The sequence below is a fragment of the Homo sapiens genome, chromosome 2 (assembly GCF_000001405.40).
Source record: "Homo sapiens chromosome 2, GRCh38.p14 Primary Assembly".
Lineage (NCBI taxonomy): Eukaryota > Metazoa > Chordata > Mammalia > Primates > Hominidae > Homo > Homo sapiens.
The window spans coordinates 87,460,476-87,488,069 of NC_000002.12; the positions used below are offsets into that span (position 1 = coordinate 87,460,476).

Below are 27,594 nucleotides of genomic sequence, written 5' to 3' on the forward strand. Positions count from 1 at the left end.
CTGGAGGAGGAAGATGGAGGAGTGAGGCAAGGCCCTGAGATGATGCAGAGCAAGGGGCACACAAGAGGGGACTCAGGTCCAAGGTGAAATAGCAGCAAGCACTCTCCCTCCAAAACCCACCGCCTCCTTATGAATCCCTTTGGCCTTGATTATGCCAGTAGATAATAGGTATGTGACAGTTTTAGCTTCTCTGGCCTTTGATCAGGTTGATTTATGTGAATAGACTCCATGTCCTTGGAGATGAACCTGTTCTAAAAATTCTAAGCAACCAGCCATTTGGCTCTTTGCTGGAAAGTAGCCTGGCTTTTGAAGCCAAGTCTGGACAGTTTCCTTGCTGCACCTCAGGACTCAAAGGACATGGTCCTGACTCAGGAAGAGCTGGCTTTGAGGGAAGGGGTGAGTCATGAACCCAAGCACAGCAGAGATTCTTGGTGTGTGCTGCAGAAGGTGAGAGTAGCCCCCATCTCCCTGTGCCAGTCTTCTGGGGGAAATTTATGATGGCCTTACATAATTGGGCTTATATGTGTTTCACTAGAAAGACAAAAAAAGGTGAGACCTTGTCTGCCAATTCGCTACCACCTCCTTGGGGTCTAAGAGCTAGGCTGTTTGTTCAAAGCTAGGCTCCTTTGTGTATTAACAGTGTGACCCCGGGCATCATCCTTAACCCCTCTTTGTCCCAATTCCACATCTGAATGATGGGGATGATAATGGTAGACTCTGCCACATATGGTTCTGAGGACTAAGTGAGGCCACATGTGCAAAGGATCCGGAACAGTGCCTGGCCCCAAGTCAGCCCTCAGGCAACAGAACAGTGTTTGGATTGTCCTTGTTGCTTTATTGGATACGTGATAAGTACTGGTGAAATGCATGAATGAAAAGAAATCCCACTTGATTTTAATACAAGAATCAAGCAAGTGACTTCTGTCCCTTTGAATACCCTCCTCCAAGTGGTCCAAAGTCCTTGAAGCTACCATCTCCTTGGTACCCTTCCTGATGCTTCTGGTGTGGGCAATGTGGTTACTTCATCAAGTAGACCCTGGTTACAGAGAAGTTAAATGATTTGTCCCCAGGCCCACTCACAGGAGAGAGTACTATACAATATCAAGCTGGTTGTCTTCAGCACTCTGTTGTAGAGACTTCCAGTATGCATTCTCTTCTGCTTCCTCTGTTGTCAACCACAAGTCCATGTTGTTAGGGACAACAGTGTGCCCAGTTAAAAAACGATATTTCCTAGTCTCCTTTACAGATACGGTGGCCAATGAAAGATATAGGCTGAAAGGTTAGCTAGGGATTCTAGAAAAGCTCTCTAAAGGAGACTGACATGTAATAGGCTTAGCATTTTGCACCTGAATTCTCTCCTTCCCCCTGTCTGGAATGCAGACGTGATGGCTGGAGCTCCAGCAGCCTCCATGAAGCCATAAGACAATGTGGAGGAAAGAAACCAGTGCTAAGGATGGCAGAGCAGGCAGATGGTCACAGGTCTTTGGGTGACCAGCTATTTTGCCTGCCTGGAGATTTGACTATTTTTGGAGCCGGATGCAGAGGGAGGTGGGAAAAATATTCCAGCTGAAATTCAACCTGTAGGAGTATTTTTCAGGGTGTCAGGGTCACTTCTTTGTGGAGCTGCCTTTCAGGTCTCTGGTATAGGGGGCAAGGGTCATGGCCTCATGGTGATGCCCAGGGACCCCAGGTGCTTTGGTCTTTGCAGACCACTTTCTTATGAAAAAGCAGAGTGTGACTGCTCTGGCAGAAAGATAAATGTCATTCAGGCTGATTCATTATTATACATTCATTATCATTTATTTGTGGTTTTCCTCTGATTTTAAAATAAATCAAAATTAAAACACTTTTGCAGGCCCCTAACAGTATCATGGGCCCCATGCACTGTGCCCAGCATGCCCAATGGACATGTAGGCCCCAAGAGGGCAGAGAGCAATCACAGAAGGACTTGCCCTGGCCAACATAGGCTGGTCTCTCTAGGGGCAGCTTCGGAATTGTGAATTACCCAGAGCTGCGTGCCAGGAAATGTGGACCTAACTCTTGCCTCTGAGGAAGGCAGGCAGGCTTGGTTTCATGTACTGTTGATGAGCCCGACATCCTCAATGCTCACTCGAGCTTTGGAAATGACAAGCAGGATTTTCAGAACAGGATTCTCTGTCCTGTCCCTGTTTTAATTTCAGCCTCCTTATTCCCCATGTAATAATTCCCCATACTGGCTCAATTATTTGTTTAACGGGTATGAATTCCAGTCTATAATGCCAAGGTATCAAAATGTGACGTACCTTTACTCTAGAAATCTCTAAATTATATTAAATCTGCTCCAAGATCGCCCTGCCCTACCTCACCCTCTCTGCCTGGTTATTGGGAGATTCAAATTCTGTCATTATTGGGGATCCTTTCTTGTCATAATGCTCCAGATGTCATCAAACAAACTTGGGCTTAGGTGATGCCAGGAAACCTGGGGGGGAGCATCCATTGTCTGCGGTGGCTGCTACCATTGCAACTTCGACACCTGCAGTCTCAGTGTGTGGGGGGCTCTGGGAGCTGCTCAGGGCCTGCTCCAGTTGGGGTGGACCCCACACCTCTCGTGATCTGTCCTCTAACTGTAGGCTCCGCTGCTGGAAATGTGTCGCTGCTCTCATGGCCACTGTGTGAGCTCCCAGTCTCAGCAAATGCACCCAGCAATGTCTGATTGATAGGGCACCCTCTGTGGGCTTTGTCCTGCTTGCTGCTAGCTGCTGCTGGGCCTCTCCCAGCCTGGGCCTCCTGTCTCAGTCTGAAGGCCAAGAGACAGCAGCGACAGCAGAGGAGGCAGAAACAGAAAACTCTCCGAGGACCCGGGGAAGTCACAAGGTGGCTTCCCAAACTCTCTAGTGCAGCACTGTCTGATAGAACCTTCTGCAAGGATGGAAAAGTTCTGTATCTGTGCTGGTCAAAGCAGCGGCCACAAGTCACATGTGGCTCCTAAGCAACTGAAATGTGGCTACTGTGACTAGGAACTGGATTGAAAGTTTTATCTAATTTCAGTTAATTTTAATTTAAATGCCCACAACTGCATGTGGCTACCAGGTTGGACAGCATACATGTGGAACACAGACTCCTGATCTGGGAGCCTTGAAAGATGAGCCGTCACTCTGATGAGGTGGAGGGCCTGAATTGAGCCCTGCGGTGGCACTCGGCAGGTCTTCAGAGGGGCTGGTGACCCCTCCAAGGTGCACAGCCCCTGGGCTACGAGCAGTGGCTAGTCAGGTTGGGGTCCCTGGCCTCTGCCACGAGTGGCCACTAGTGGAAGCCTCAATGTCTCCACTTCCAGTGGGCTCTCAGGCCTCACATGCCCATGCCAGGGTAGGGGGCCTGTCGAGGAGGATGCCCTGGCACCCAGAGCTTCTCTGCTGTTTGTCCTGAGGGTTCCCTTGGGCTGGGGGCCTCAGGTGCAGGGCACATGCAGCCGGACTGTCCAGCCTTGTGGTATTTGCACATGAACTTTCCTGCGTGGGGATAGACAGCCTTATTCTTGTTTGTGTAAAGCCATTCCAGGAACTATTAATAGTTAGACTGGCATAAATAAGCCTCAGGTTTGGTTCTTGTTAGTGTCCTACAAATCCCTCAAACTTTACTCTTTTGGCTTTTTAAGGGAGAAGATTTACAGTATGTTCAGGCACAATTGACAAGAAACATACAAGTTGTGCGGAGATGAGCAGACCCAGGGCCCCAGGCCTGAGCCTCTTTTCTCTCCCATGCCCTGCCTGCTCAAGTTACCTTGAGCACAAATGATGTCCTTCTGTGTGTGGGATCACAGACTGAGACATGGGGCTGTTCCTCCCCTGAAGTCACCCCTCAAGTTCCCCACATGATTTTACTCCTGGCTACTCCCCAGTTTGCTGTAGTTTGCTGGACCATGTGACCTTGGAGGGGCTCACAAGGCCCAGTGATGAAGCCACCGCCAGGGCTGAGCCTCAGCTCAGCCAGCTACTTAATGCATGCATAGCAAGTTACTTAACACCTACTGACCTCAGTTTCCTCACCCGTAAACTAGAAATAGAGGAACAATTACCACAGAGAGTTGTTCTGAGGATGCAAAGAGTTCTTGCATGAAAAATTCTTAGGAAAGTGCTGCACATAGTAGGTATTCAATAGCATTAGCTATTTAGATTGGAATTAGTGGCTTTTTGCCATTTACTCCTGACTGTAGGAGCTGTTCTCTGGGCCCCAGATCTCCATTCCAGCAATGATCTCTCTCCTCCAACTCTGGCATTGGAGGAGTACCACAATCCTGCCTCCACATTTCATTTGCTGACACCCAGGGGCAGCATTAGGTGTAGAGTGCTGGACATCTAAGGGAAGAGGTTCAATTGTCCATCTGTTTAGTTATTTACTCATTATTCAATGAATGTTAATTGAGACCAGTCAGGGCAGCTGAGAAGCAGTGCGGTTGTGAGGAGGGCTGTTAGTAGGGGAGATGCAGGTGCTGGTGTGCTTCCGTGTATGAATATGGCAGCTAGTGCAGGGTCATGAAGAGGGAATCAGGGACACTCTGGGGATGTTAAAAACTCTGTTGATGTGGAATCAGAATCCCTGGGCCAGTCCTGCCTTCCTCTTGCTAGCTGTGTGGCCATGATCGAGGGTCCTCTTTGATCCTCCCTGATACATGGGCGAGGTGACCCACAGTGGCAGATGCTTAACCATCCAACATGGAGTCATCATCATTACTTAGACACCCTTCATTTGGAATCACGATTCTCAGTGTGAAGGGCACTTCCCACCATAGAAGCCCCTCTCTGTGAGCCCTCAGAGGGCTGTCTAATCCATAAGCCCTTTCCCTCCCAAAGAGGCAGCCCAGCGCATCACTGCAAAGCGCCAGCTGAGAAGACGTTCTATAAATTATCCAAAGCCTATTCTCTGGCACATCCATATTTTGGACCTAGCTCTGCCCCCGAAGTCATATAAGCATAGCCACGATGGGAAGGATGGTCATAACTCAACATGCCCATTCATATACCTTGAGCACATATCCTGTCCCAGAGACTGCTGAATTATTGCATGAGCCCCAGCTCCTTCCACACCAAAGCCCTTCCGACTGCATGGACCTCACCACTTCTGTTCAAGCTCTTCCTTCTTCTCATGGTTCCTGGAAAGATTCTTTATGTGCTGAGGTGTTCAGCTACCCTTGATCTTGTGCTGCCTTCCACAGCATCTACTTGGCAACTTTCCAATGTCCCACTTCAGGTGGGCACAGTGACCTCCTTTGTCTGGTTTTTGGCAACCATACCTATCTGTTGGACCTGGGCACTGCACTGACAGCCAGCTGACCTCCCTGCCTCTCTGTGTGGGAACGTGCTGCAAAGCCACATCTCTCTAATTCTGTGTGTGTGTGTATATATATATCTTTTAGAGACAAGATCTCACTCTGTCACTCAGGCTGGAGTACAGTGAAGCAATCATAGCTCACTGCAGCCTTGAACTTCTGAACTCAAGTGACCCTTGACCTCAGCCTCCTGAAGAGCTGGGACTACAGGCATGTGGCACCATGCCTGGCTAATTTTAAAATCTTTTTTTTGGTAGAGACGAGCGTCTCACTGTGTTGTCCAGGCTGGTCTCAAACTCCTGTCCTCCAGTGATCCTCCCACCTCTGCCTCTCAAAGTGCTGGGATCATTCTGAATATGAGGTGGTGACTTTTTTAAAAAAAACTTTTTTTTTTAACCTAAGTAGAACTTTGCATTATCGTTGGTGTTGTCTTTTAGATTTAGCCCATGTATTCTCTAATATAAAACATGAAGCTTCATGTCATCTATAACTTGGAGTGGTATCCCCTTTACATCTTCACCAGAAGACCACTTGGATCAGTGAAGACCAAGAGCAGAGACCTGTGACATCCACTAGCGATTGTCTTCACTGTTGCCACTATCCCAGTGCTCTCGGGCACTGCATTGAACACAAATAGCTCCCCTTGCTGCACAAGTTTCACTGATGGGGGTAAAGGGGGTTATGAAACGTATCATATGATCAAATATGTGATAGTGATCCCACAGACAAATGGAGCGTGTGGGGATGATTTAGACACTCAGCCAGCCTTGTCTTGATGGATACCCATCCTTCTCTGCTGTTCTCTCTTTCCTCCATCCTCAAGCACAGGGAGCTTTTGGCGAGGTTAGCTAACTTCGGGGCAGCTGTGAATTAGATACTGGCTGTAAGTTACCTCCAACATCCAGAGCATTTAAACGCTCGGCTGTCAATGATTGTCATTTTCATTGTTTACATATAGTCACATCCTCAGTTTGTGGGGTGGATGCATTTGATTCAATTCAGATATGCCTTTCAAGCTGGCCCTGCTGAGCTGGGCCTGAAAGGCACATGGCTCATCTCATCTGCATGTGACAGTCTCTTTGAAGTCCCCAGAAGTGCCTGCTCAGAGTCATGCTCGGGAGGGAAGAGGTAAGGCACAGAATGAGTACAGACTGCCACCCAGCCGCAGGAAAGGTGACTGCACACCAGAGGTTCCTGGTAAGGAGGTGACTCACCCGCGACTGTCTCACCTGTCCAAAGTGTGTGTCACCTGCTCTGTGTTCACCCACTGGGTTCATCAGAGGGGCACTTGAACAAAACAGGAATGTCACTGGAGAGGGGAACAAATGCTGTCCCCAAGTCCTTCCCTGCCGTTTAGAGTAACGCAGCCCCTGTCCGCACATCCTCACCCCCATCTGCCCTCTGCTTGCCAGAATTATCAGAATCTCTCAATTCTAATTTCAGCCATTCTCTGTGAAAATGAAAAGTTAGTGGCAGGCAATGGACACCCTATTGAAATAGAAATTGTTCTTCATATGTCAGAAAAGTCCCAGAGTAATCTGGGAGTAATCTGAGCAAACTGATTCAAAGGATTATTACAATTTCTTAGTCTTCTACTGCTGCAAAAGTGGCACTCTTTGATTCTCATGTTTGAGGTTCTAATTACTACCTCATGCAGGACTTACAAGAGATCAGCCATGCTGCTTACATTGTGTGTAGTGAATCAATGTTATTCTGAAGGGCCTCCTGGAAGCAGTAGGGATTGGAGAATGTATGTCTTTTAACATGATCATTCCCATCCTATGGGGGTTGGGCACTCTTAACTCATGTTGCAGATGAGTAAACTGAGGCTTTTGAGAGTTTGAGGGTGCACAGCTTGAGGCAGAGGTGGAATTCCCAGCTTCATCCAAGAAATCACGAATCTCCAATGGCTTGCACACATCCAGGTTTGCTGGATCCTATTTGTCAAGACCACATGCAGATTAGGAGCCTTCAAACAAATTATTTCCAAGGGAGGGCATCTTTCTCTGTAACCCCTACCCTGGCAATTCTCCATGGCCTCAGGGAGTCCAGCCGGAAGCTCTGCAATGAGTCCTGGGGAACTCTCATCTGGAAAAAGGCGCTCATGACAGGTGGTGCCAACCTTCCACGGATGCTTTTCAGCATCTCTTGGGATGAGGATACAGAATTTCTCTTTCACCCTGTAAATGTGGTAAATGAGGGAATAGAATTTCCAGCTTTAATTTTTCTGAATAGGATTCAAAAATGAAATTGTATAAAAAGGTATCCAGTGAAAAACACACACCCATCCCCATCTCCCATCCAGTTCCCTCCGTAACCCTTTTCTTAGTTTCTTATATGTCCTTTCAGAGTTTCTTTATGCAAATACAGTATAAGCAAAAAAGAATGGGCCTTTTTCTTTTCTTCCTTATTTTCCACAAAATCTATCAAAATGGGTTTTTTTTGTTTTGTTTTGTTTGAGACAGGGTCTCACTCTGTTGCCCAGGCTGGAGTGCAGTGGCACGATCACGGTTCACTGCAGCCTCGACCTCCCCAGGCTCAGGTGATCCTCCCATCTCAGCCTTCTGAGTTGCTGGGACTACAAGCATGCATCACCAGGCCTGGCTAATTTTTCTATTTTTTGTAGGGACAGGGTTTTGCTGTGTTGCCCAGGCTGGTCTCAATTTCCTGGACACAAGCAATCTGCCTGCCTCAGCCTCATAATGTTTTTTTTTAATGTTAAACCCCTTCTTGTGTTGAGAGGCCTGGCTTGTGTGTTTGAGCGCAGCTGCCTACCTTTGCAGCTGTAAATGTCAGGGCTCCAGGAGGGCTGGCTGGGTCTCCCCTCCTCCCCTGTTGGGTGGGTGGGGCCCTGAGCTTATCCAGGCATCCCTAGGTGGATGGATGGGTGGATGGGTAGGCCCTGGCCTTCAGGGAATGCACTGTGTGTGGTCTTCCAGCCCCAGCAAAGTCTCAGGGGGCCCGAGCGGGAAGTCGCCATCCTCAGGGGGTCCGAGTGGGGAGTCACCATCCTCACGGTCAGCCGTGGTTTCGAATTGAGCTCCCAGGGGCGGAGACTCCATTCCCCCGGGGAACAATCTGATAGCCAGAAATGAGAGCAGTGAGTGACTTGGACGCTGTGTGATTCAGGAGGGTCCCAGTCCCTCAGAGTCGCCTGGACACCAGATTGTATTTACAAAACAGATGGATGAGGAAATGGAGATTGGGTCTTCAAAAGAATTAACCTCAGATTTTATTTATTTATTTTAAAAATTTTAATTTTTCCCAAGGACCCTTTCCAAGTCAAGAATTGTTTTAAAAAGAAGCCTGGTGAAGGCAAATGCTGTCTGTGGCCGAAGGCACCGTGAGGAGCTGAGGCTGACTTATGTTTCTCCTCTGGGCTATGTGCGCCTCTAAGGAGTTCACACACTTTAACCCCCTTAGGAACCCTACATGATCATCCTCGTTTCTTAAAGAGGAAGCAGAGCCAGCAAACAAGTGGGGGAGCCACAGTTCCAGCCCAGGTGTCACTGGGCCCTGCCTGCCCCAGCCAGCTCCTCAGGAGCACACGGCACCCCACGTGCGTGCAGGGGACAGCTGTCCTCACAGGAACAGCCCCGGGACCTACAGGACTTCCTGGGGTTTACCCTCAGAGCACCCATGAGGTTAGAATCACAAAGCCCGGGAGTCAGGAGACACAGGGCAGCTGGAGGGAGGTCTTTACTGAGGCTACTGAGGCACAGCAGCCCCGTCTAGAGGCCTCCCCGAGAGGCACTTCCTGAGGAGTCTGGTGGATTTTGAGCTGCTTTTTAAACAACCTTCTCCTTAGCATAGACACTGACACTGAAGGGAAAGAAAGCAAATGGTCTGTTCTTAGTGGGAAGGCAACTTGCTTTCAGGGGAACGAGTTTGGGGGAAGAGGACTGGTAGAAGACACGACTAAGAAAGTGAGTAGGAGTCCAGACGTGTGTGATTCATCCTTTAGGGCCTCTGTGTGTGATGGGTTGACTTGTGTGTCCCAAAATTCACATGTGGACGTCCTCGCCCCTGGCAGCTCAGACGTGACCTTATTTGGAAATAGTGCCATTGCCGATGTAATTAGTTCAAATGAGGTCATGCTGGAGTCGGGTGGGCCCCTGATCCCATATCACTGGTGTCCTTATAAGAAGGGGAAATTTCAAGACAGACACACACTCAGGGAGTACACCATGTGAAGACTGGACTTAAACAGCTACACCACCAGAAGCCGAGAGAGAGGCTGGAACATAGCCTTCCCTTTGGAGGTAGCCTGGCCCGGTGGGCACTGTGATCTCAGACTTCCAGCCTTCAGAACTGTGAGACAATATTTTATTGTTTAAGCCACTTATTTTTTGGTACTTTCTTACGGCAGCCCTAGCAGATGCTAATCCAGCGTGCGTCCTGACAGAGGTTGAAGGGGGCTTCTCAAGTCCCAGGTCCAGCTTGGTGTGGTTCAGCTACTCAAGAGACATCTGCTGCTAATGGATGAGCAGTCAACCTGGACGCAGGAAATCATTTTTTATTTGGGTGAATACAATATTCTCCTTTTGTTTTCACTTTTCCTAAAAGTTAAATCAAGGTTCAAAAGAAAATCGAGGTTCAAAAGAAAAATTTGGTCTTTACATGTGCTAAAAAGAAAAAAACAAAAAGACTCATTTCATCTTTATATGGGATGGGATCCGTGCTCTGGTGGGCTACAGAGTGTGTCTCTGTGTGGGTCCCTGTACTCCGTGCGAGGTTGGCGGCCGAGCCACGGTTCCCATGTGAGCAGGACAGCACAGTCTCACCTCACACAGAGAACCTCGCCCGAACATGGAACTTTCACCCACGTTGCCATTTTCCCGCTCCCTTTCCCTCCTTTGAGGTTCACACTCGTCTCTCCAAATTAAAATTTACAAAGAGAGGAGATGGAGGCTCCCAAGTGGCCACAAAGTCACATTTTATGTGAGACCTTTTTGCCTCATTTGCTAGTTATTGAACAAAGGTGACTCTGAACCTAGCAGAAGCACGGGTTCAACACACAGTTCAGAAAAACAGGAACCATCAATTCATAAGAACTTAAAGAAAAAAATAGTTTAAAGAACTGAGAAGTTGCCACATTATAGTGAAAGAATGTTGGGTTTTGGAAATGACAAAAACGAGCAATCTTCACCTTGAAAATCCGGTGGAGTCAGTTACACAAGACATAACCGCACACAAACATGGCATTTCTGATAGTATAATGGCATTTACAGTCAAGAAGCTTCTTTCAGAGTATTTCATGGAAAGTTATTTTAGTAGCAAGGGTAGCCTTAAGCAGTGAGTATTCGTCAAGAGAGTGAAACCTTGACTTCAAAGTCAAGAGGCGGAGGAGTGAGGACTCAGATCTGGAGGCGACCTGCAGGGCGGGTGCCCACGCACAGGTGTCCCAGCTGTGGACATCCCACGTGCACAGGAGTGGGCCAAAGAGAGGCCCATGGATCCCTGCCCACCTCAGAAATGTGAGCAGGCAGCTGGGGGGCATTTGGACTCTAGCCGGGACAACCTAGTGGCCGGGCAGGGGATGCAGGCACCACAGGTCACAGTGGTTTGCTACGAGCGTCAGCTTTTAAAATTTTAAATAATCCTCTTATTGTAAAATTGAGGACATTATTTGAAGCAACGCAAAAACCATGTAAAAAAATGTCTGTAGGATGTGAATAGCATGTTTCTTTAAGGCAATATCTGAAGAAAATATAAAAGCCCCAGGTGAAAGACACCCTGGGAGCAGAGGTGCCCCTGAGGGTCGGCTGCCCCAGGACAGAGGAGGGCTCTGCTGGTGCCCAGGTGGCACTGCCTGTCTTGATGCCAGGTGCAGGGGTTTAGAAGAAAAGACAAGGAAGAAAATAAAACTCACCACCGACATTCCTACCACTAGAGTTACCCACTGTTCCCAGTCAGGCATATTTCCTCCCAATCCTGTCCTCTCTGTGTATTTGGTAATTGCGTAAATCATCTCTCCCATAATTAATCTCCTTTAAAATTTGGAATAATATAGTTGTTAGAATAATATAATAATCATGCAGAATAATTTAGAATAATGTTGTTTAGAACAATTTTTGTAGTCATGCTACCTTGCAGTCATTCATAACTCAGAAGAACTCTGCATTTAGAAGGTCTATTTAAAATGTGCCTTCTTTGCTGAAGAGTTAGTTTTATGGTAAAAATCCAATAAAATTGTAGCTAAGCACTGAAAAAAAGTAAAGAATTAAGCTCAGCCTCCAGAAATACTGATTTTATATATATTTGCTCTGGGGAAGATTGGTTTAAGAAGACCTATAGCCTGTTAATTGCCCTTTTATAAATTGCCTCCCTATATTTTTTGCCCTCTTTTCCCCTCCCTCCCTCCTTTATTCCCTCTGTCTCTTCCCTTTCCCCTCCCTCCCTCCCTTCATTCCTTTCTTCCTTCTCCTTTTCTTCCTTTTTTTTATTGTTGTTCTGGGGGAACTTTTCTAATATCCTGGATTTTAAGACTTTGATATATATGCTGCAAATACTTTCTCTCAACCTGTCTTAACTTTCTTTACTGTGTCGTTTATATTATGGAACTATTTAACTTTTAAGTAGTTATTATTTTCCTTTTAACACCCAGGTTTTGTCTTGCTTAGAAAGTCTGTTCCTACCCCTAGATTCGAAAAATATCCTCACATTTTTTTCTTCTGATACTTAGTAATTTTATTTTTGGTTTAAAATGTCAAGTCAAGTAGAACTTATTTTTGTTTATAATTTGAAGTAAGGGAGTTTCATTTTACCCTAAATGTGTAGCAAATTTTCCCAGACTATTTATTAAGTCATTCACTTTTTTCCTGCTGAAATTATGATATTTAAGTTGATAAGTTTTATGTGTTGGGGAGGTGTCAAATGGGCAGTTTCCAGTTGGAATGTGGGATTGGGTAGAGCTTTGACACAACGTCTGTGTCTTTCCGACTCCCATGTGACTTCAGGGCAAAGAGGCAGAGGAATGGAGCTCAGAGCTTTTAGAGAATATGGGCCAGAAACAGGAAGGAGTCAGGACCTGATAACGGGAACCAGCGGACAGTGAACGCAGTGGAGGGCCACTGGGGCCGGAGCAGCCGAGAGATTTCAGGAGGTGAGCTTCAGAGAGCCTCGGCATAAATGGATCCAGGGTGTGGTCAGCTCAGGGAAAGACAGACAACCAGGGCTGAGCACAGGCCAGGCCAGGCCAGGCAGGGCCCCCGGAGAATCACGTTTTAGTATCTGCATATTGAGAAAGTTTGACCTTGAGTGTGAAATGTAGACAAGCAACCCAAATAAAAAATAGGCCTGATTGGGGCCAAAAACAAAACAGATTGATGAAAATAATCTCAAGAGTAGGAATGGACACAACCTACAAGAAGGAGACTGAACCCACCAAGTGTGGCGCTTGAGTCAAATCAAACGATTAGAGGCTGCCAAGTCGGCCCAAACCCCAAGAGCGTGGGAATCTGGGAGGGCACCGAGGGCTGGGCTGAGAGCCTCTTTTCAAGGAAGTCTTTCCAGGATGCTGTACTTCTGTCTTGCCACCTTGCAGGCCTTACAGTGAGACCATGAAGTCCCTGGCACTCTCCCTGCCGGACCCGTGGCCGATGTTGATATCTGCTCGGCCGGCCTCACAGGTGTGCGCGCTGTGCAGTCGCTTAGGGCCTCCCCTGCGCAGAAGGTCCTGGCTTGGTTTAATGCCCTGCTGTTACCATCTTAAAATTCTTAATGGTTTTTGAACAAAGGCCGCACATGTTCATTTTGCACCGCTTTGTAATTACATGATTTAAAACTCTGTGCTTTTCTCTTCCTTTTTATTAAAAACAAGAATGTCAGAAATTGCCCCTTTAAAACTGTAAAACAAGAAGGCATTAAACTCTTAATATTTCAGGTCAAATTTGACACTGTCTCTGGACATGCAGGTCTGGGTATTGGTGGGCCTTAGCCCCTTTCCTGCTGAGCCCAGAACATGCTTCTAGTCACCTAGCATAGGTCTCTAGGGGGCCTCTGCCACAAGGCAGGGCCAACGCCAAATGACATGCAGTTGCCTTTGATGAATGGGACTCTCCACCACTGCTTTATGTAAACAGCAGGTCCTGATATATGAAATGTGGCTTCAAAGCAACTTAAAGAAATGAAGGGTCAAGGATAGAATATGTGATGAGATTCTGATACCATGGAGCCTCCAGCCCCATGGCTTGCTGTGCTTGGGCTGTGTTCTCTGTCCTGGAAGGGTCCACAGAGAGGGCAGGCTGCCAGCAGGAGGCCTGCCTGCTCCACCAGACTGATGACACTTATTCCACTTGGTTCCCAGAACTAAGAGGTCAGGGGCCATGAAGGACTAGTTGCAGGAGAACTCTCTGTCTTAATTTAAGGCATGCTCTGTGGAGTGGGGCTGTTGGGCAGCCTTTCCAATTTATCCACCCATCCCTGGGATCTCTTGGGATTGAGAAACTGAGTTTCTCCAGGGTTCTTCTCTCACCACTCATATCCTGCAACCTTAGGGTCCTCCCTGTACTGGGTATCAGCCTGGTCTCAGCATTCAGGGACTCAGAGAGAATAATCAGAGGTGCATTTCTATCACTGTGAGGACCTTAGGCTCAGGCCAATAATGTAAAGAAGCACCCTACCTGGGAGAAACTTACTGTCTAGTTGTAAAGAAAGCACCAGGGGGCCATGATGCCCATCCCACCCATGTTCCCACCCAAACTCTCCTAAACCCACAGCTCCCAAACAAGTTCTGGATTGTACAGATCAGGCTCCAGCCAAGGTGAGCTCACTGAGGTCAGAGCTTACAGAATCTGGGAGCTCAACCAACATGATGGCTTCAGAGATGAAATACCCAGCACATCCAGCTGCAGTTGCCCCATAAGGAGCAGAAAGTTTGCTATCACTTCCTCTGTACTGTTTTTATGTTCAGGTGACCTGTGGGTCAGTTGTTCGTAATGTGGTGATGCCTGTAAAGGGAGCACTGGAGGTCAGGGGGTGCCAGTGAGTGGAGGAGACCATTATAAATACTGTGTCCCCAAAGGGTGTACAGTCAAATAAATATAGCATGGGAAAAGCCAGGTTGACCCAAGAGAAACATCTTTTTCTAAAAATCTGCAAGACTTCTCAGAGCCTTTGGTCGTGCATTTTAAATATCCAAATATGTGTTTTGAAAATATGTGAAACAGCATAACATTTGTGGTATATGTTAAATGTAGATGATGGTGGAACTTTCTGTTTTTTTCTTAGAGAATTTCATGGGACCAGGCTTCCAAAAAACACAAATGTTTTGAGGACAAAACATATGAATATTGTAGAAGATTAGAAGCGATAAATTACTATAGGCAGAAGATAAGTGACATTGGATTGAAATTTTTAAAATGGGAAAATAATTACAAATGGAGGAGTGGCATGGTCAGAGGCGGAGTGCAGGTGCCTGTGGCACATCTGGGCTCACTGGCTCAGGCAAGCTGCGGTGGAGCAGAAGGCTGGGGACATGTGTGTAGAGTCCCAACTGTCAGATCACAGTGTTGGGTTGGGTCTTTCACCTGCAGGGGCGTGTGTGTGTGTGTGTGTGTGTGTGTGTGTGTGTGTGTGTGTGTCTGTGCACATGTGTGTGTGTGCTGCTTAGAGTTTTTGAGCAAAGTTTGGAATGATCAATGTGCAGCTTTAGAATAATGACTTGGTGGGAAGAATTGAAGTGAGGAAACACTGGAGATTTGTAGCCCTCCTAGAAGTCACTTTCAGCATGGATCTTGGTGTGGCCTGGAAGGAAAGGACCTGGCTTGTGGGAGGCAGCAGCAGAATGGACACATGAGAGCCACAATCAAGACAGACGTGGCAGGGTGAATAACTGGCTGAATTGTGAAACTCTAGGCTGCCCATATCACACTGACATTTTGAGAATTCAGAACAGATGGCAACACCTGGGCCCCTGCCTGTGCAGATGGGCCAGAAAAACGTGACATGTGTGAAGGTGGGCATGGGGTGGCAGCAGTTTCTCTCGCCCAAGCATTAAGAGTGTTACAGAGCAGAACTGTTATTACGGAATTGGTGAAGCACCTCTGGGGGACTCCCTCTCCTTCCCCCAAGTATATGTTGGCTAAGTAGCCACCAATAACAAATGGAGACACCTGCATGCTCCTGCAGCCACTGCAGTGTGGCCAGCTCCTCTGCTGGGCTATACACGTGGAGATCGTGTAAGTGACCAGGGCCAATGTCTCTGGCAGCCATGGAGAAACAGGTGGCCCAGCCCGGCCCTTTCACTGCCCGTGATGGACAGCTTGCCATCGCTGGTCAATAGCTGCACTCCCAGATAGTATTAGGTAATATATAATTAATAAAGAATATTCCAGTTGATCTGGTTCTTTTAAAACAAGGAAACTTCTTGCTATTTGGTACCCACAAATTCCACTACTCCCTGAATTGTATGTCCTGAAATCTCACAAATTTGCATGCTGACATTGTTAATAAAAGAACAGGAGATAATTTAAACAGCCCTGTGGTTTGGAAGTCACAGGTTCTGCTGCTTCATGTTCATGCACGAGACTAAGAGCCTTTGAAGAAGATCACTTCCTAGACCAAGGCTTTATGTTTGGATTAAATGCAGCTCCTCCAGATCATCTCCCGAGGAGATTCAGCCAGCCTCTGTTCTCTCTACTATCCCCGTCTTCTTGCCTCATCCCATGCACACATTTATATGTGTTCACATTTATGCATGGACATGCTCTAGTGTGCCCTCTAGTGCAGACATTTTATGCATGAAACTTTAACCCCTCTTGCATCAAGGCATATAAGCAGAAGAGATGAGTGGAAAGATTTTAGGGCTTGGAAGGGCAAACGTGATAGTCACTGTACATTATAAAGAACACCAAATGACAGTGTGCTTTGGAATATACTACTAGGAATGTTTCTGCTTTGCAATTGGAAAGTAATGACATTGAAAAGAAGTGAAAAAAATCACAGGTATATAATTCAGCACCAAATTGATGAGGACACAGAGGTGAACTAGAAAGGCATCCCAGCGGAAACCACTTACAGCCCCATAAAAGCAAGATCTAAGCAATGGGGATATAAAAAAGGAAGGGAAATTGATGAAGATGACTTGGGGTGACGTGACCTGGAGTTTAGGGAGGGACAGGGACTTGCCTTGGACTCACTATGGGTGCTCATGAAGGAGGCAGCATTTGGACAAGGCCCTGAGAGGCAGGTGGATTTGGATGTGCAGTGGTGGTCCGGGTGTGTGGAGTGGGGGTCAGCATGTGCAAAGGCATGGAGGTCAGCAAACCAAGGCTGAGAGCACAAGAGGTTCGCTGTGTGTCTTCCAGCTGCCCAGTGAGCACATGGAGGTAAAGGTGCACAACTTGGTAAGCGACAGGAGTTTGTGTGGATCAGGCCTGCTGTGACATAAATATGCAAATGATGTGGTCCCTCGTGGTAGCACCCTCAGGATGACGCACTCTTCTACCAAAACATGGCTGAAAATTTTTGGTGTGTGGGGGTGTACCCTGGGAGCCCATTTAGAAGCTACAGTGAAAAGAGCCCTCATTGCTTCAGCTTTGAGCCATCTGGGCCCTCCCACCTGGCTCATTTCACCTGACAGTTTCTAAAACTTCTCACAAGGAATTTGTCGGTTTATTACACATCCATAGAATGCCCTGAAGAGCTATTCCAAAAGAAGAGCTTGAAAGTCGAACGCTAAGCAGAAAAACAGTGACTTCCAAACCACAGGGTTTGTTCGAATTATCAACTTAGTCCTTTATTAACAACTTCAAGGTGCAAATTTGTGAGATTCCAGACAGGCAGTTCAATGAGCAGCTGGATTTTGCTGGTTCCCAAGAGCAAGGAAAATTCCCTTGTTTTAAAAAGCCAGATCCATTTGGAATAGTCTTTCTTCCCCACATATTACAGCATGAACGTGACTCTAAAGTACCTGCCGAGGGTCTTTCTTTTTGTGACGGTGGGCGCTGTTCCCCACTGTCGTGGACTTCTCACAGCGCTCAGTGTGCATTCGGTTGCTTCTCTCCATAACGCCTCTCAGCTAACTGTGCTGTTTCTGTGCTCCTGGGTTGTTAATGTTCAAGTCTTGGCTCTATACCATTTTCCTTATCATTTAGGATTCCACTGGGAAGACATCACTAAGTTGTGAAATCAAACTTCATGAGTTGGCTGAGATCATAGGGTTGGGTGTCCTCTGAGCACTTGCAGGCTGGGGGAAGACAGAAAACCTGGACAACTTGCAATTGTTTGCAACAAAGTGGAAAAACTAAAGTAGTTTTGATATGTGCATTAGTTTGCTTGGACTGCTATAACGAAATACTACTTGGTGGCTTAAACAACAGAAATTTCTTTTCTTACAGTCCTGGAGGCTGGAAGTGCAAAAGGAAGGTGTCGGCAAGATCGTTTTTTTCTGAGAGCTCTCTCCTTGGCTTGCAGATGGCAGCCTGCTCCTGGCACAGTCTTTTCTCTGTACGTGCTCATGTCTGTGTCCTGATTTCCTTTTCCTAGTAGGGCCAGTCAAATTGGATTAGGGCCTAAAGTAATTATCTCATTTTACTTTACTTCTTTAAAGGCCATATGTCCAAATACAGTCACATTCTGGGGTGCTAGAGGTTAAGATTTCAATATATAAATTTGCAGGGGACACATCTCCACCCATAACAATTTGTTTTTCGTAATACGTTTAAAATACCCATTTCTGGGCTGGATGCAGTGGCTCATGCCTATAATCCCAGCACTGTGGGAGGATCACTTGAGCCCAGGAGTTTGAGACCAGCCTGGGCAACATAGCCAGACTCTATCTATAAAAAAAAATACACACACACACAAACTTGGCCAGATACAGCGGTGCACACCTGTAGTCCTAGCTGCTTGGGGGACTGAGGTGGGAGGGTCGCTTGAGCCCAGAAGTTTGAGGTTACAGTGAGCTATGATCATGCCACTGCCCTCCAGCCTGGGCAACAAAGCAAGACTGTGTTACTTAAAAAATAAAATAAAACAAAAAGACCCACTTCCATTTATTTCACCCATGGATAAATTGTGTAGCAAGTGGTTAGGTGAAATGTGAAATGTCTGGCCAATTATTGTCATCATGCTCAATTATAGAGACACAGTATGCTCCCCTTTGCATTCTTCATTGCTGATTCTGTGCTTTACATCTGGCAGCTACAAAAATTTAGTATTTTGCTAGCAGGTGCATCAAATCTATTTTTGGTTTCAAACAATACACTTTTTGTTTTCAGCGATTCTGACCAGTAGTCAACAATTGCAAGTATGTGGAATGTGATTCTCCTGCTTTGGGAACAAGGGAGCTCCCAGTTTTGTGGGCAGGATCCGACATTCCCATCATAAGGGCGGCCTCACCTGTCTGTACCTCTGACACCTCAGTCAGAGCCCTTGGAGTCGGCTAGGCCAGTTTTGGCCCTCCTTACTGAGACCTAGTCATTCTGTAGACATACTTCATTCTCCCAGGCTTGGGCTTCTGGTTCAACCTGTGGCTCTGTCATTATCACCAGAAGATATCCATCTGGCCCACCTTCTGTGGCTTTTTTCCCATGCACCTTTCAGACTAAATTGTATACGCTCATCCTCCAAAGGGTTGGCTGTCTTTGGTGGTATTTTGGCCTGAGTTCTGCCTTGGATTTATGTTTTTTGTTACATATATATATATATATATATATATATTTTTTTTTTTTTTTTTTTTTTTTTTTTTTTTTGAGATGGAGTCTTACTCTGTTGCCCAGGCTGGAGTACAGTGGTGTGATCTAGATTCACTGCTACCTCTGCCTCCTGGGTTCAAGTGATTCTCCTGTCTCAGCCTCCAGAGTAGCTGGGATTACAGGCATGCACCGTCATGCCTGGCTAATTTTTGTATTTTCAGTAGAGACGGGGTTTCACCATGTTGGCCAGGTTGGTCTCAAACTCCTGATCTCAGGCGATCCACTCGCCTAGGCCTCCCAAAGTGCTGGGATTACAGGCGTGAGCCTACCGTGCCCAGCCTTATTTCATAATTTTTGATCGTAATTCCACCCACATGTTCTATTCATGTGAAATTTACTAAGGTGAGACCAAGTGGAGATAAAAACTATCTAAACGAAAAACTTAGGTCTCTCTTTCAGACTTTTTTTTGGTTTTATGGTGGTAAATACAACCCACTTGGCCTTTCCCCTGAGACTACTGGTTCTTTTGTCACTGGAGTCCCAGAGATCAGGGTTTGAACTAGCCCACCACTTACTGGTCATGTAACTTTGGGCAATTCAGTTTGCATCCCTAAGCCTCAATGTCTTCATCTGTAGGATGGAGGTAACCATAATGCCTGTCTCAGAGGCTGCTGCTAGTGTTAACTGTGGGACACAACACAGAGTGAGGCACAGACGAGGTATGCAGAAAACATCAGCTTCGTGGTTTTTTACTCTTCTGCACTTGCTGTAGCATTCTGCAAAACTATTATTCCTTTCCTAGACTCATGCCCAAAGTTACGGAGGACCCAGCAACCATCTCCTGCAGCCCCTGGAAACCTCTTGACTCTTCTGTGATGTCCCCAGTGATCCAGCAGCCCTGGCCTTCTTTTGATGGCTTGAACATTTGGTCTTCATTGAACAGTTTGTATATTGGAAACTTGCCAGCCTCCATCCACATTCCAACCTCCGTCTGCATCCCTCGGTACAAAATGGTTCAATCTGTCTACCTCCTTTCACATTCCACCAAGATATTCCAAGGCCCAGGGTTCCTTTGACCACCTCACACCTAACAAGTTCCCTCACTGTCTCTCACTCTCCCCTGAAGATTCTAAGCTGCCTCTGTCCTGCTAAAACTGTAGACCTGAGAATGAAGTAAGGTGCTTCAGGTGAGGCTTGATCAGCCCAGAGCAGAAAGGGGCCACCTCCTCCCACCCTATAAGACCCTATTAGTGCACCTTGGAGCCCTTTGCTTGGCTGGTGGCTACAATACACTTCTGTTAATGACGGAATTCCATAACATTTTTCCCCATTAATTTCTGCTACAAAACACAAAAGTCTTAGCCAGGTGTGGTGGTGCACACCTGTTGTCCCAGCTACTCAGGAGTCTGAGGTGAGAGGATCGCTGAGCCTGGGAGGCAGAGGTTACAGTGAGCCAAGATGGCGCCGTTGTACTCCAACCTGGGTGACAGAGGGAGACCCTGTCTCAAAAACAAAAAACAAAACAAAACAAAACAAAAACCAAATACACACACACACACACACACATACACACACACACATAAAAGTCTCATATTTTACACTTATGAAGTTAGGTGGGTTTTTTTTGTTTGTTTCTTTGTTTTGTTTTGTTTTGTTTTGTACCCAAAAGTACATAACCTACTACTACCTACCTTTTTGGTTTTTTTTTTTTTTTGAGATGGAGTCTTGCTCTGTCACCCAGGCTGGAGTGCAATGGCGCTATCTCAGCTTACTGCAACCTCTGCCTCCCAGGTTCAAGCGATTCTCCTGCCTCAGCCTCCCGAGTTGCTGGGATTACAGGCACCTGTCACCACACCTGGCTAGTTTTGTATTTTTAGTAGAGACAGGATTTCACTATGTTGGCCAGGCTGATTTTGAACTCCTGACCTCAGATGATCCACCCGCCTCAGCCTCCCAAAGTGCTGGGATTACAGGTGTGAGCCACTGCGCCCGGCCCCTTTCCTAAGGTTTTCTAAAGCATGTTTGTGGCAATCTATCTTAGAATCTTGTCAAAGGTAAATACAAGGTTCAGGGTTTACGGAGCCACCTTCTAGCCCTTTAAGCCACCAGAATTGCTGATGTCTTATGGACTCCTGAGAAGTTTGTGGTGGTGATTCTTAGAGCTCAGCTCCCGACTGCTGGACTGTCGGTCACTGGGCAGAAACAGAACTCAGTTCTCATCACCTGGATGCCGTTTCATACTCTCCACCCTCTCCTGGGCTTCAGTTGCCCCACACAATGTCAGTCTCTTTGTGATGGTTAGTTTTATGTGCCAACTTTGCTAGGGCATGGTACCCAGATATTTGGTCAAACATTATCCTGGATGTTTCTGTGAAGGCACTTTTTAGCAGATTAACATTTAAATCAGTAGATTTTGGCAAAGCAGAGTCATAATGTGGGTGGGCCTCATCCAGTCAGTTGAAGGCCTTAATAGAAAATGATGGGCTGGGCGCAGTGGCTCACGCCTGTAATCCCAGTGCTTTGGGAGGCCGAGGCAGGCGGATCATGAGGTCAGGAGATTGAGACCTTCCTGACTAACATGGTGAAACCCCGTCTCTACTAAAAATACAAAAAATTAGCCAGGCGTGGTGGCGGGCGCCTGTAGTCCCAGCTACTCGGGAGGCTGAGGCAGGAGAATGGCGTGAACCCAGGAGGCGGAGCTTGCAGTGAGCTGAGATGGCACCACTGCACTCCAGCCTGGGCGACAGAGTGAGACTCTGTCTCAAAAAAAAAAAAAAAAAAAAAAAAAGAAAAGAAAATGACGAACCTCCCCAAAGAAGATTGGATTCTGTCAGCTGACCCAAACTGCAACAGGGACTCCTGGGGTCTCTGCCTGCCAGCCTGCCCTGTGGATTTTGGACTTGCCAGCCCTTACCATTGTGGGAACCTAATCCTTAAACAACTCAATCTCCACTACCCTCCTCGCCCTTCTCTCTCTCTCTCTCTCACACACACACACACACACCCACACACACACACCCACCCACACACACCCACACACACACACACACACACACACACACACATCCAATTGATTCTGTTTCTTTGGAGAACTCTGACTAACACAGTCTCCTTCTCAGTATTAATGTTTTTTTCTTGGACAGAAAATATAGATAAAATAGAAGTCTAGAAGTTCTGTTTTCTCTCACGACCAAATTCTTCTATTTCTCTTTTAACCCATTCAGATTTGTGAGTCCCGGAGCGTGCTTTGCCAGGGCTCTGTTGAGTTCCACAGTGCATTGAGCACCACTATGTGGGAGGCACTGGCTCTCAACAGGCAGCAGGCACCTTTTCCCTAATGAACTGTCTTTCCAGGTTTCACTCAAGCCCTTTCTATCAGACTTCTACCATGCAGCTCTGCCAATTTCTTTAAGCATCTCTCCCTTCTTCCTGACTGTCCTGACCAGGAAACTCCCTAATCTCTAATATCTAAAGTCATGAAGCCAATTGCATCATTAGATGCGCAGTATATATAAATAACATTTACTTACAAGAATATTTTTATAGAAATGTATGTAAACATACTTACATACATTTCTATAAATACATTTAAATTCCTAAAGACTTGTTTGAGCAATTTAAAAAAAAAATGCTCCAGTTTAACTTCCTACTACAATTAGGAATTTGGGGCAGGGTGCATAATTGCCAGTGTACTCACAGTGACTGCAATTAGAATGTGCTGTGGAGTCAGAGGAACTGCCTGACAGTGCCGGGCAGTTGACCCTGGGCTGGGTTCAGAGCTCTCCAGTGGCCACTGAGAAGTAGGAGAGTGTTTCCTGCACAATCCTGATTTCTTGGGGGAGGAGGTACTACTGCACGCTGCTGGGAGGAGCCTCTGAAACTCTCCTGGGCCAGGTCTCCTCCCGTGCTTCCTCTCCCTGAGGCAGCCTCACCTCTTGACGCCTGTCCCCAGCACACCCTTCTGTAGCTTTCCTCTGACTCACCCCTCTGTGTGTCTTTCTCTCCAACTCGGGGTCCTGTCACCTAGGCCTCTCTCCTTTTTCCTAGGTGGCTGGCAGTTGCTCTTCCCTTGGTTTTCTCTAATTTGATCTCTTTCCCACCCTTCCAGTCTGCCACAGTCACCCTTGATATCCGCAGAATCCACCCTCCTTGGAAGGGATGAGGAAGGGGGTTTATATAACTCAATTTCATTTGTAATGTTTCAAATGGTATTTTTTTTCTGGGAATAATTGGCGCTGGATTCTGAACTATCTTTCCTGTTGCAAAGAATGAAATCCCTTCTAGGTGATGGGGCTTGATCTTTCTCTGTTGCAATAGCAGCGATGTCCAAAACAATCAATCAGAGGCATTTTCTACCGTACCTGAGCCATTCAGTGGTTTCGACCTCTGCTCCAGATTACCCAGGGTTATCCAGATGGGTTAATGCGAGTCCTTAGAATGGTGTTTCCCACCTTGAGAGTGGGTTGTTGGCTAGGTGTGTGGGGGAGCTGTTTGTCTACACCTCAGAAACGCTCACAACAGCAGGTTCCAGGGAAAGTCCCTGGGTGTCCAGTAAAAGCTGGGTCGCCCTCCCTAGGGGGCTCTGAGACTAGCAGAACTGATGGCCCCATAATTTGAGCACAGGTATGCATATTTCTTAGGGGTTGGTGGGCAGACTCATTCATGTTCCCATCCCAGGGGTGCAGGGGACCCTTCTCCCTTCCCCACATCAGCCCAGGGCCACAGAAGCTCCTCAGGAGGCAAGGAAGGGAATGGAGAGGACAAGAGTGCCTACAGAGTGGGAAGGAGACAAGCATTCTCAGGTATTTATCCAGGGTAAGGGCAAGGGCTTTTCTGCAGTCCAGGACATTAGAAGAGTCCTGAACCAAGAACTCCACCCCTGCCCCGATATCAGCTGTTTTTATTGACTGAGCTGTTGGAGAACAGTTTTGGTGTGCGGAAACAGTGAGATCCCTAACCCTACACCCCTGAACCCAGCAGATATATCCACACTGACCAGAAAGGACTGGCTAACCACAAGCCTGCCTGTGCATGGCAGGGAAAGGAAAGCCATTCTTGAGTAAATGGTGTTCAAAGGTTGGGCAATATATGTATATGGTGTTCTCCTGTGGACATAATTGTGCACAAGGGTCAGAAGAAATTGCTTTCATTGGGCAAGCTACTTAACCTGTCTAAAGCTTTGTTTTTTTATGATCTGTAAATGAAGACAGATCCTATCTCATGGCTCTGCACGTCACACAGCGATAGCAGACAGGTAATTAGGATGCAGGTAGTTAGCAGACAGCCTGGGTGTACTTTAGCTGTTCAAGTTTCCTCAACCTGGCCTCCTAGCCATGACCTTTCACAGAGGTGCAAATCATCTATGAGTTTGCACAGAATCCCCTGCAAGGAAATATGTTCTTGTTCTTGACTTACATTTGAGTTGGTTGGTCTTACAGTTAAGGCGGAGGTCATCACTCTTAATAAAGGCCATTTTAAGTGGAGTGACAAGTCACTAAGGGACTTGTTGGCATTGTTTACTTCTTATCCAGGGCTTTCCAAGAAGGGACAGTGTGTCTGAGTTTTTATCTTATGAAGGTTTCCCACCTGCAGTTTAGTTTACTATTATTCTAAGGGCTGTTTATAAATGAACTAGCTTGTCTTTGCACTCAGGGTAATTCACAGATTTGTCAGTGACTTCATTGCAGCTGTGAGCTTTACACGAACCTTGCAATCCGCCTTGAAAAATGAAACTGAGTATAAGTGGGGACCAAGGAAGAATGTTTTTGAGGGAAATAGAAATTACCATCCTAAAAATGGTTCCTTCTGTGTGTCTGCTGATAGAAACCCTTGACCTCTTTAGAAACAACCGCAAAATTATTCACTACAATTATCTGAATCTCATAAATAAAATAATGATTACAGCTGCATGGAATTATTCAGGTCTAAATTCATATAAACATATCCCTAACAAATTTATTTATCATGACAGGAAAGGAAAGCATAGCTTTGTGCACCCCATCCCACACCCTCCACCCCCTACAAATTTTACTAACACTGTTTCTGGGTTCAGAATTTTTTTGCCTGAGTTGGTACCTCAAATCACTTGAGTTAAACTGCAAATGAATCACACATAATGCAGATAAAATGACTTCATGCCCTAATTTCTAGAACGTGACCTGAATGTGAACTAGACATTCGTTTTCCTAAACCCCATGAGACCCAGGTATTCTTGACATGTGTAGAGAGGATTGAAGGGGCCCGAGGCTGTCTGTCCTCTCTCCGTGGGCCTGGCTCTCCTTGGACCAAATCGAATGCATGGGAACACACCCCCCAGTTGTCTTTTTCCTTCGGTTTATATAATTCCTGGCATGTGCCTTTCAACACTCCGTTTATGTTAGAAGTTTGGTATTAGCCTCGGGGCTTTACTCTTGACACTGCTACTAATTCTCTACTTTATATTCGTGATTGCCCTTCTGAAAGGAGAATCTTGTTTCAAAATTGCACCTGGGCATTTTAAAGTAAATAGGATGCAAATCCTTAGTTGGCCTCTTGTGTACATTAACTTCAGAGTGAAGAATGAATATGTAAGACAGTGATGGGGGATGGGGAGTTGAGCAAGGAAAATAATTTGCATAATGGTGTTTGCTCCCTGGTGAAACTGAAACCCAGCCTGTGTGGGTGGGGCCTTGTTTCCAAACGTCAGCGCTGCTGCCCACGAAGGCCTGCACCAACGCACGGTGCCCTCCGGGCCGCCCACAGAGGCCGGCGTCTGGCCAGGAGCAGGGGCTGGGGACAGCAAGTGTGAAACCAGCTGAAGCACCTGCAGCTCAGGCGGGCTGCAGGCTCCCTGCTCTCCCCCTGTGAAGAAGCACACATTGTTCTTTCTTCCCGCACATTTGAATCTCTCAGTGGGGTCTCATTTTCTGTGACATGGCAAACCTCAAAAAATGGGAGTAAATCATTTCTAAAGAGCTTAGCTAGGCATGGTGGCTCACGCCTGTAATCCCAGCACTTTGGAAGGTCGAAGTGGGATGATTGCTTGAGCCCAGAAGTTTGAGACCGGCCTGGGCAACATAGTGAGACCTCATCTCCACACACACACATGCGCGTACACACACACGAGCGCGCATGTGTGTGCACACACACACAAATTAGCCAGGTGTGGTGGCATGGTAATTCCAGCTACTCTGGGGGCTGAGGTTGGGAGGATGGTTTGAGCCAGGGAGGTCGAGGTTGCAGTGAGCTGTGATGGCACTGCTGCCCTCCAGCCTGGGTGACACAGTGAGATCTTATCTCAAAAAAAATAAAAAAATCAAAAATAAAGAGCTCCTGATTTCCATCCCCCACCGAGAATCATTTTCTGAGTCAGCTGGAGTGTTTCAGAGCCCAACACCCAAGGAGCAGTGCAGGGATGGTGCCCAGTTACAGGGGACAACTCAGCTCTGAATGTTACAAAGGGCACTTCATGGACCACCACCTTTTCTCTGCTTGCTCTGTACCCCTAAAGTACTACAAGGCATTTTTGGTTAATAATAATTTGAATACTATGTGATCTTGTAGATTCTACTGCGTTTGGCTAGCTAATGTCTCTAAGTAGCAAGATGATTTATTTTTTCTGGACAATACCAGGACTATATGCTGATACAGGACTGGCTTGCTCTAAGGATCAGATTTTCCAGTGTAAAATATATACTCCTTATAGGGTTGTAAGAGCAGAAGCCCTTCATAGCCTGTTTCTTTTTGCTCTCTCTTCAGCCAGCAGTTGGCCTGGATCTTTGCTGGTAGACACAGGGAATGTTCTCCTTGACGAGTGGTTCCCACCCTGGCAGCCTCAGATCCCACCATGTTGGCAGGGATGCTGAAATCCACCTGCCTATCAGCCTTTGTAAATAACAAAAATCACAAGTGGCTCTAGCATTTATGTATTCTATGATATTGGGACTCGTGATATAAATAATACAAATGCTTTTACATGCATAATTCAATTTATACTATGTTTTATCTTTAATTACTGGATAATAAAAACATAACTACTCTCAGGAAGTGTGGGGGATTGTGACTCAGGCTAAGGTGAGCCTCACAGCCTGGAGGCTGGCTTTAGTGCTGGCTGGGAGAGCTGCAAGGAGATGGCATATGCTGCCGATGAAGGTGTTCTCCAGGAATTTTCAGTTAGAAGTTTTGATCATTGTTCATTTGGCCTCAGGATGAACATCATGGTACTGCTCTTCATTCTCTATAATTAATATACTTTTCACCGTCAACTTTGCATTTGAAAGTATTTATTTTATGGGAAACAGTGAAAAGTAGATAATTAGCACATGTGCAAATCTGTTTGGCATTTGTGGGGTGTTTGCCCTGAAAACCTATGGATGAAGCCCAAAGACAGGAGCTGGGGGGTTTCATTTAGTTAACTTAAAAGTTTTAATTGGTCTGTGTTACTCTTCTTGTTACATATTTTTTTAAGGCCCTAAGGTGAGCAAGTTACATTTTAAAATAAGGAGGAAAAGCCAGTTTTAAAAGTAGAATTGAGTCATTGCATGTGTTTTTTTTCCCACAAACATTAGCTGTGTGATTATTATGTCCCAGGCACCTAAGGAATAGTGCCCTTGTCCTGGGGAAGTTCACAGTTTGGAAGGGGAGATAGTTGGGAAAGGTAATGTGAATATT

The 27,594-nt window shown here is 46.5% G+C and overlaps 3 long non-coding RNA genes across 7 annotated transcripts in view, besides 1 other annotated feature; 2 read left to right on the forward strand and 1 right to left on the reverse strand.

Annotated features, from left to right (window-relative positions):
- Window positions 1–27,594, forward strand: part of CYTOR (cytoskeleton regulator RNA) — a 66,092-nt gene that overhangs the window by 5,049 nt on the left and 33,449 nt on the right. Inside the window, exons 2-3 of one of the 5 annotated variants that reach the window (NR_024204.2) lie at window positions 17,647–17,755; window positions 19,748–19,948. The exons of 1 other annotated variant lie outside the window; for it this stretch is intronic. This is a non-coding gene — a long non-coding RNA (cytoskeleton regulator RNA). Of the gene's footprint in view, window positions 1–9,474; window positions 9,568–9,674; window positions 9,830–12,264; window positions 12,411–17,646; window positions 17,756–19,747; window positions 19,949–27,594 lie in introns of those variants that run through there. 3 more of the 5 variants (NR_146460.1, NR_024205.3, NR_146461.1) reach the window with 3 other exon arrangements.
- NCAL1 (NK cell activity associated lncRNA 1) overlaps window positions 1–27,594 on the forward strand; it is a 282,375-nt gene that overhangs the window by 4,997 nt on the left and 249,784 nt on the right. The window lies entirely within an intron of this gene.
- Window positions 2,092–2,948: an enhancer, noted in NCBI's record as "H3K4me1 hESC enhancer chr2:87762086-87762942 (GRCh37/hg19 assembly coordinates)". NCBI's record gives its function as "activates a minimal SCP1, AML or CMV promoter by ChIP-STARR-seq in primed H9 embryonic stem cells {active_cell/tissue: H9 hESC(primed)}" and the evidence as "EXISTENCE:reporter gene assay evidence [ECO:0000049][PMID:30033119]".
- Window positions 17,020–26,859, reverse strand: LOC124906032 (uncharacterized). The gene is made up of 2 exons (XR_010947475.1): window positions 22,643–26,859; window positions 17,020–17,790 (listed from the first exon to the last, which is right to left on the reverse strand). It is a non-coding gene; the product is annotated as an uncharacterized LOC124906032 (long non-coding RNA).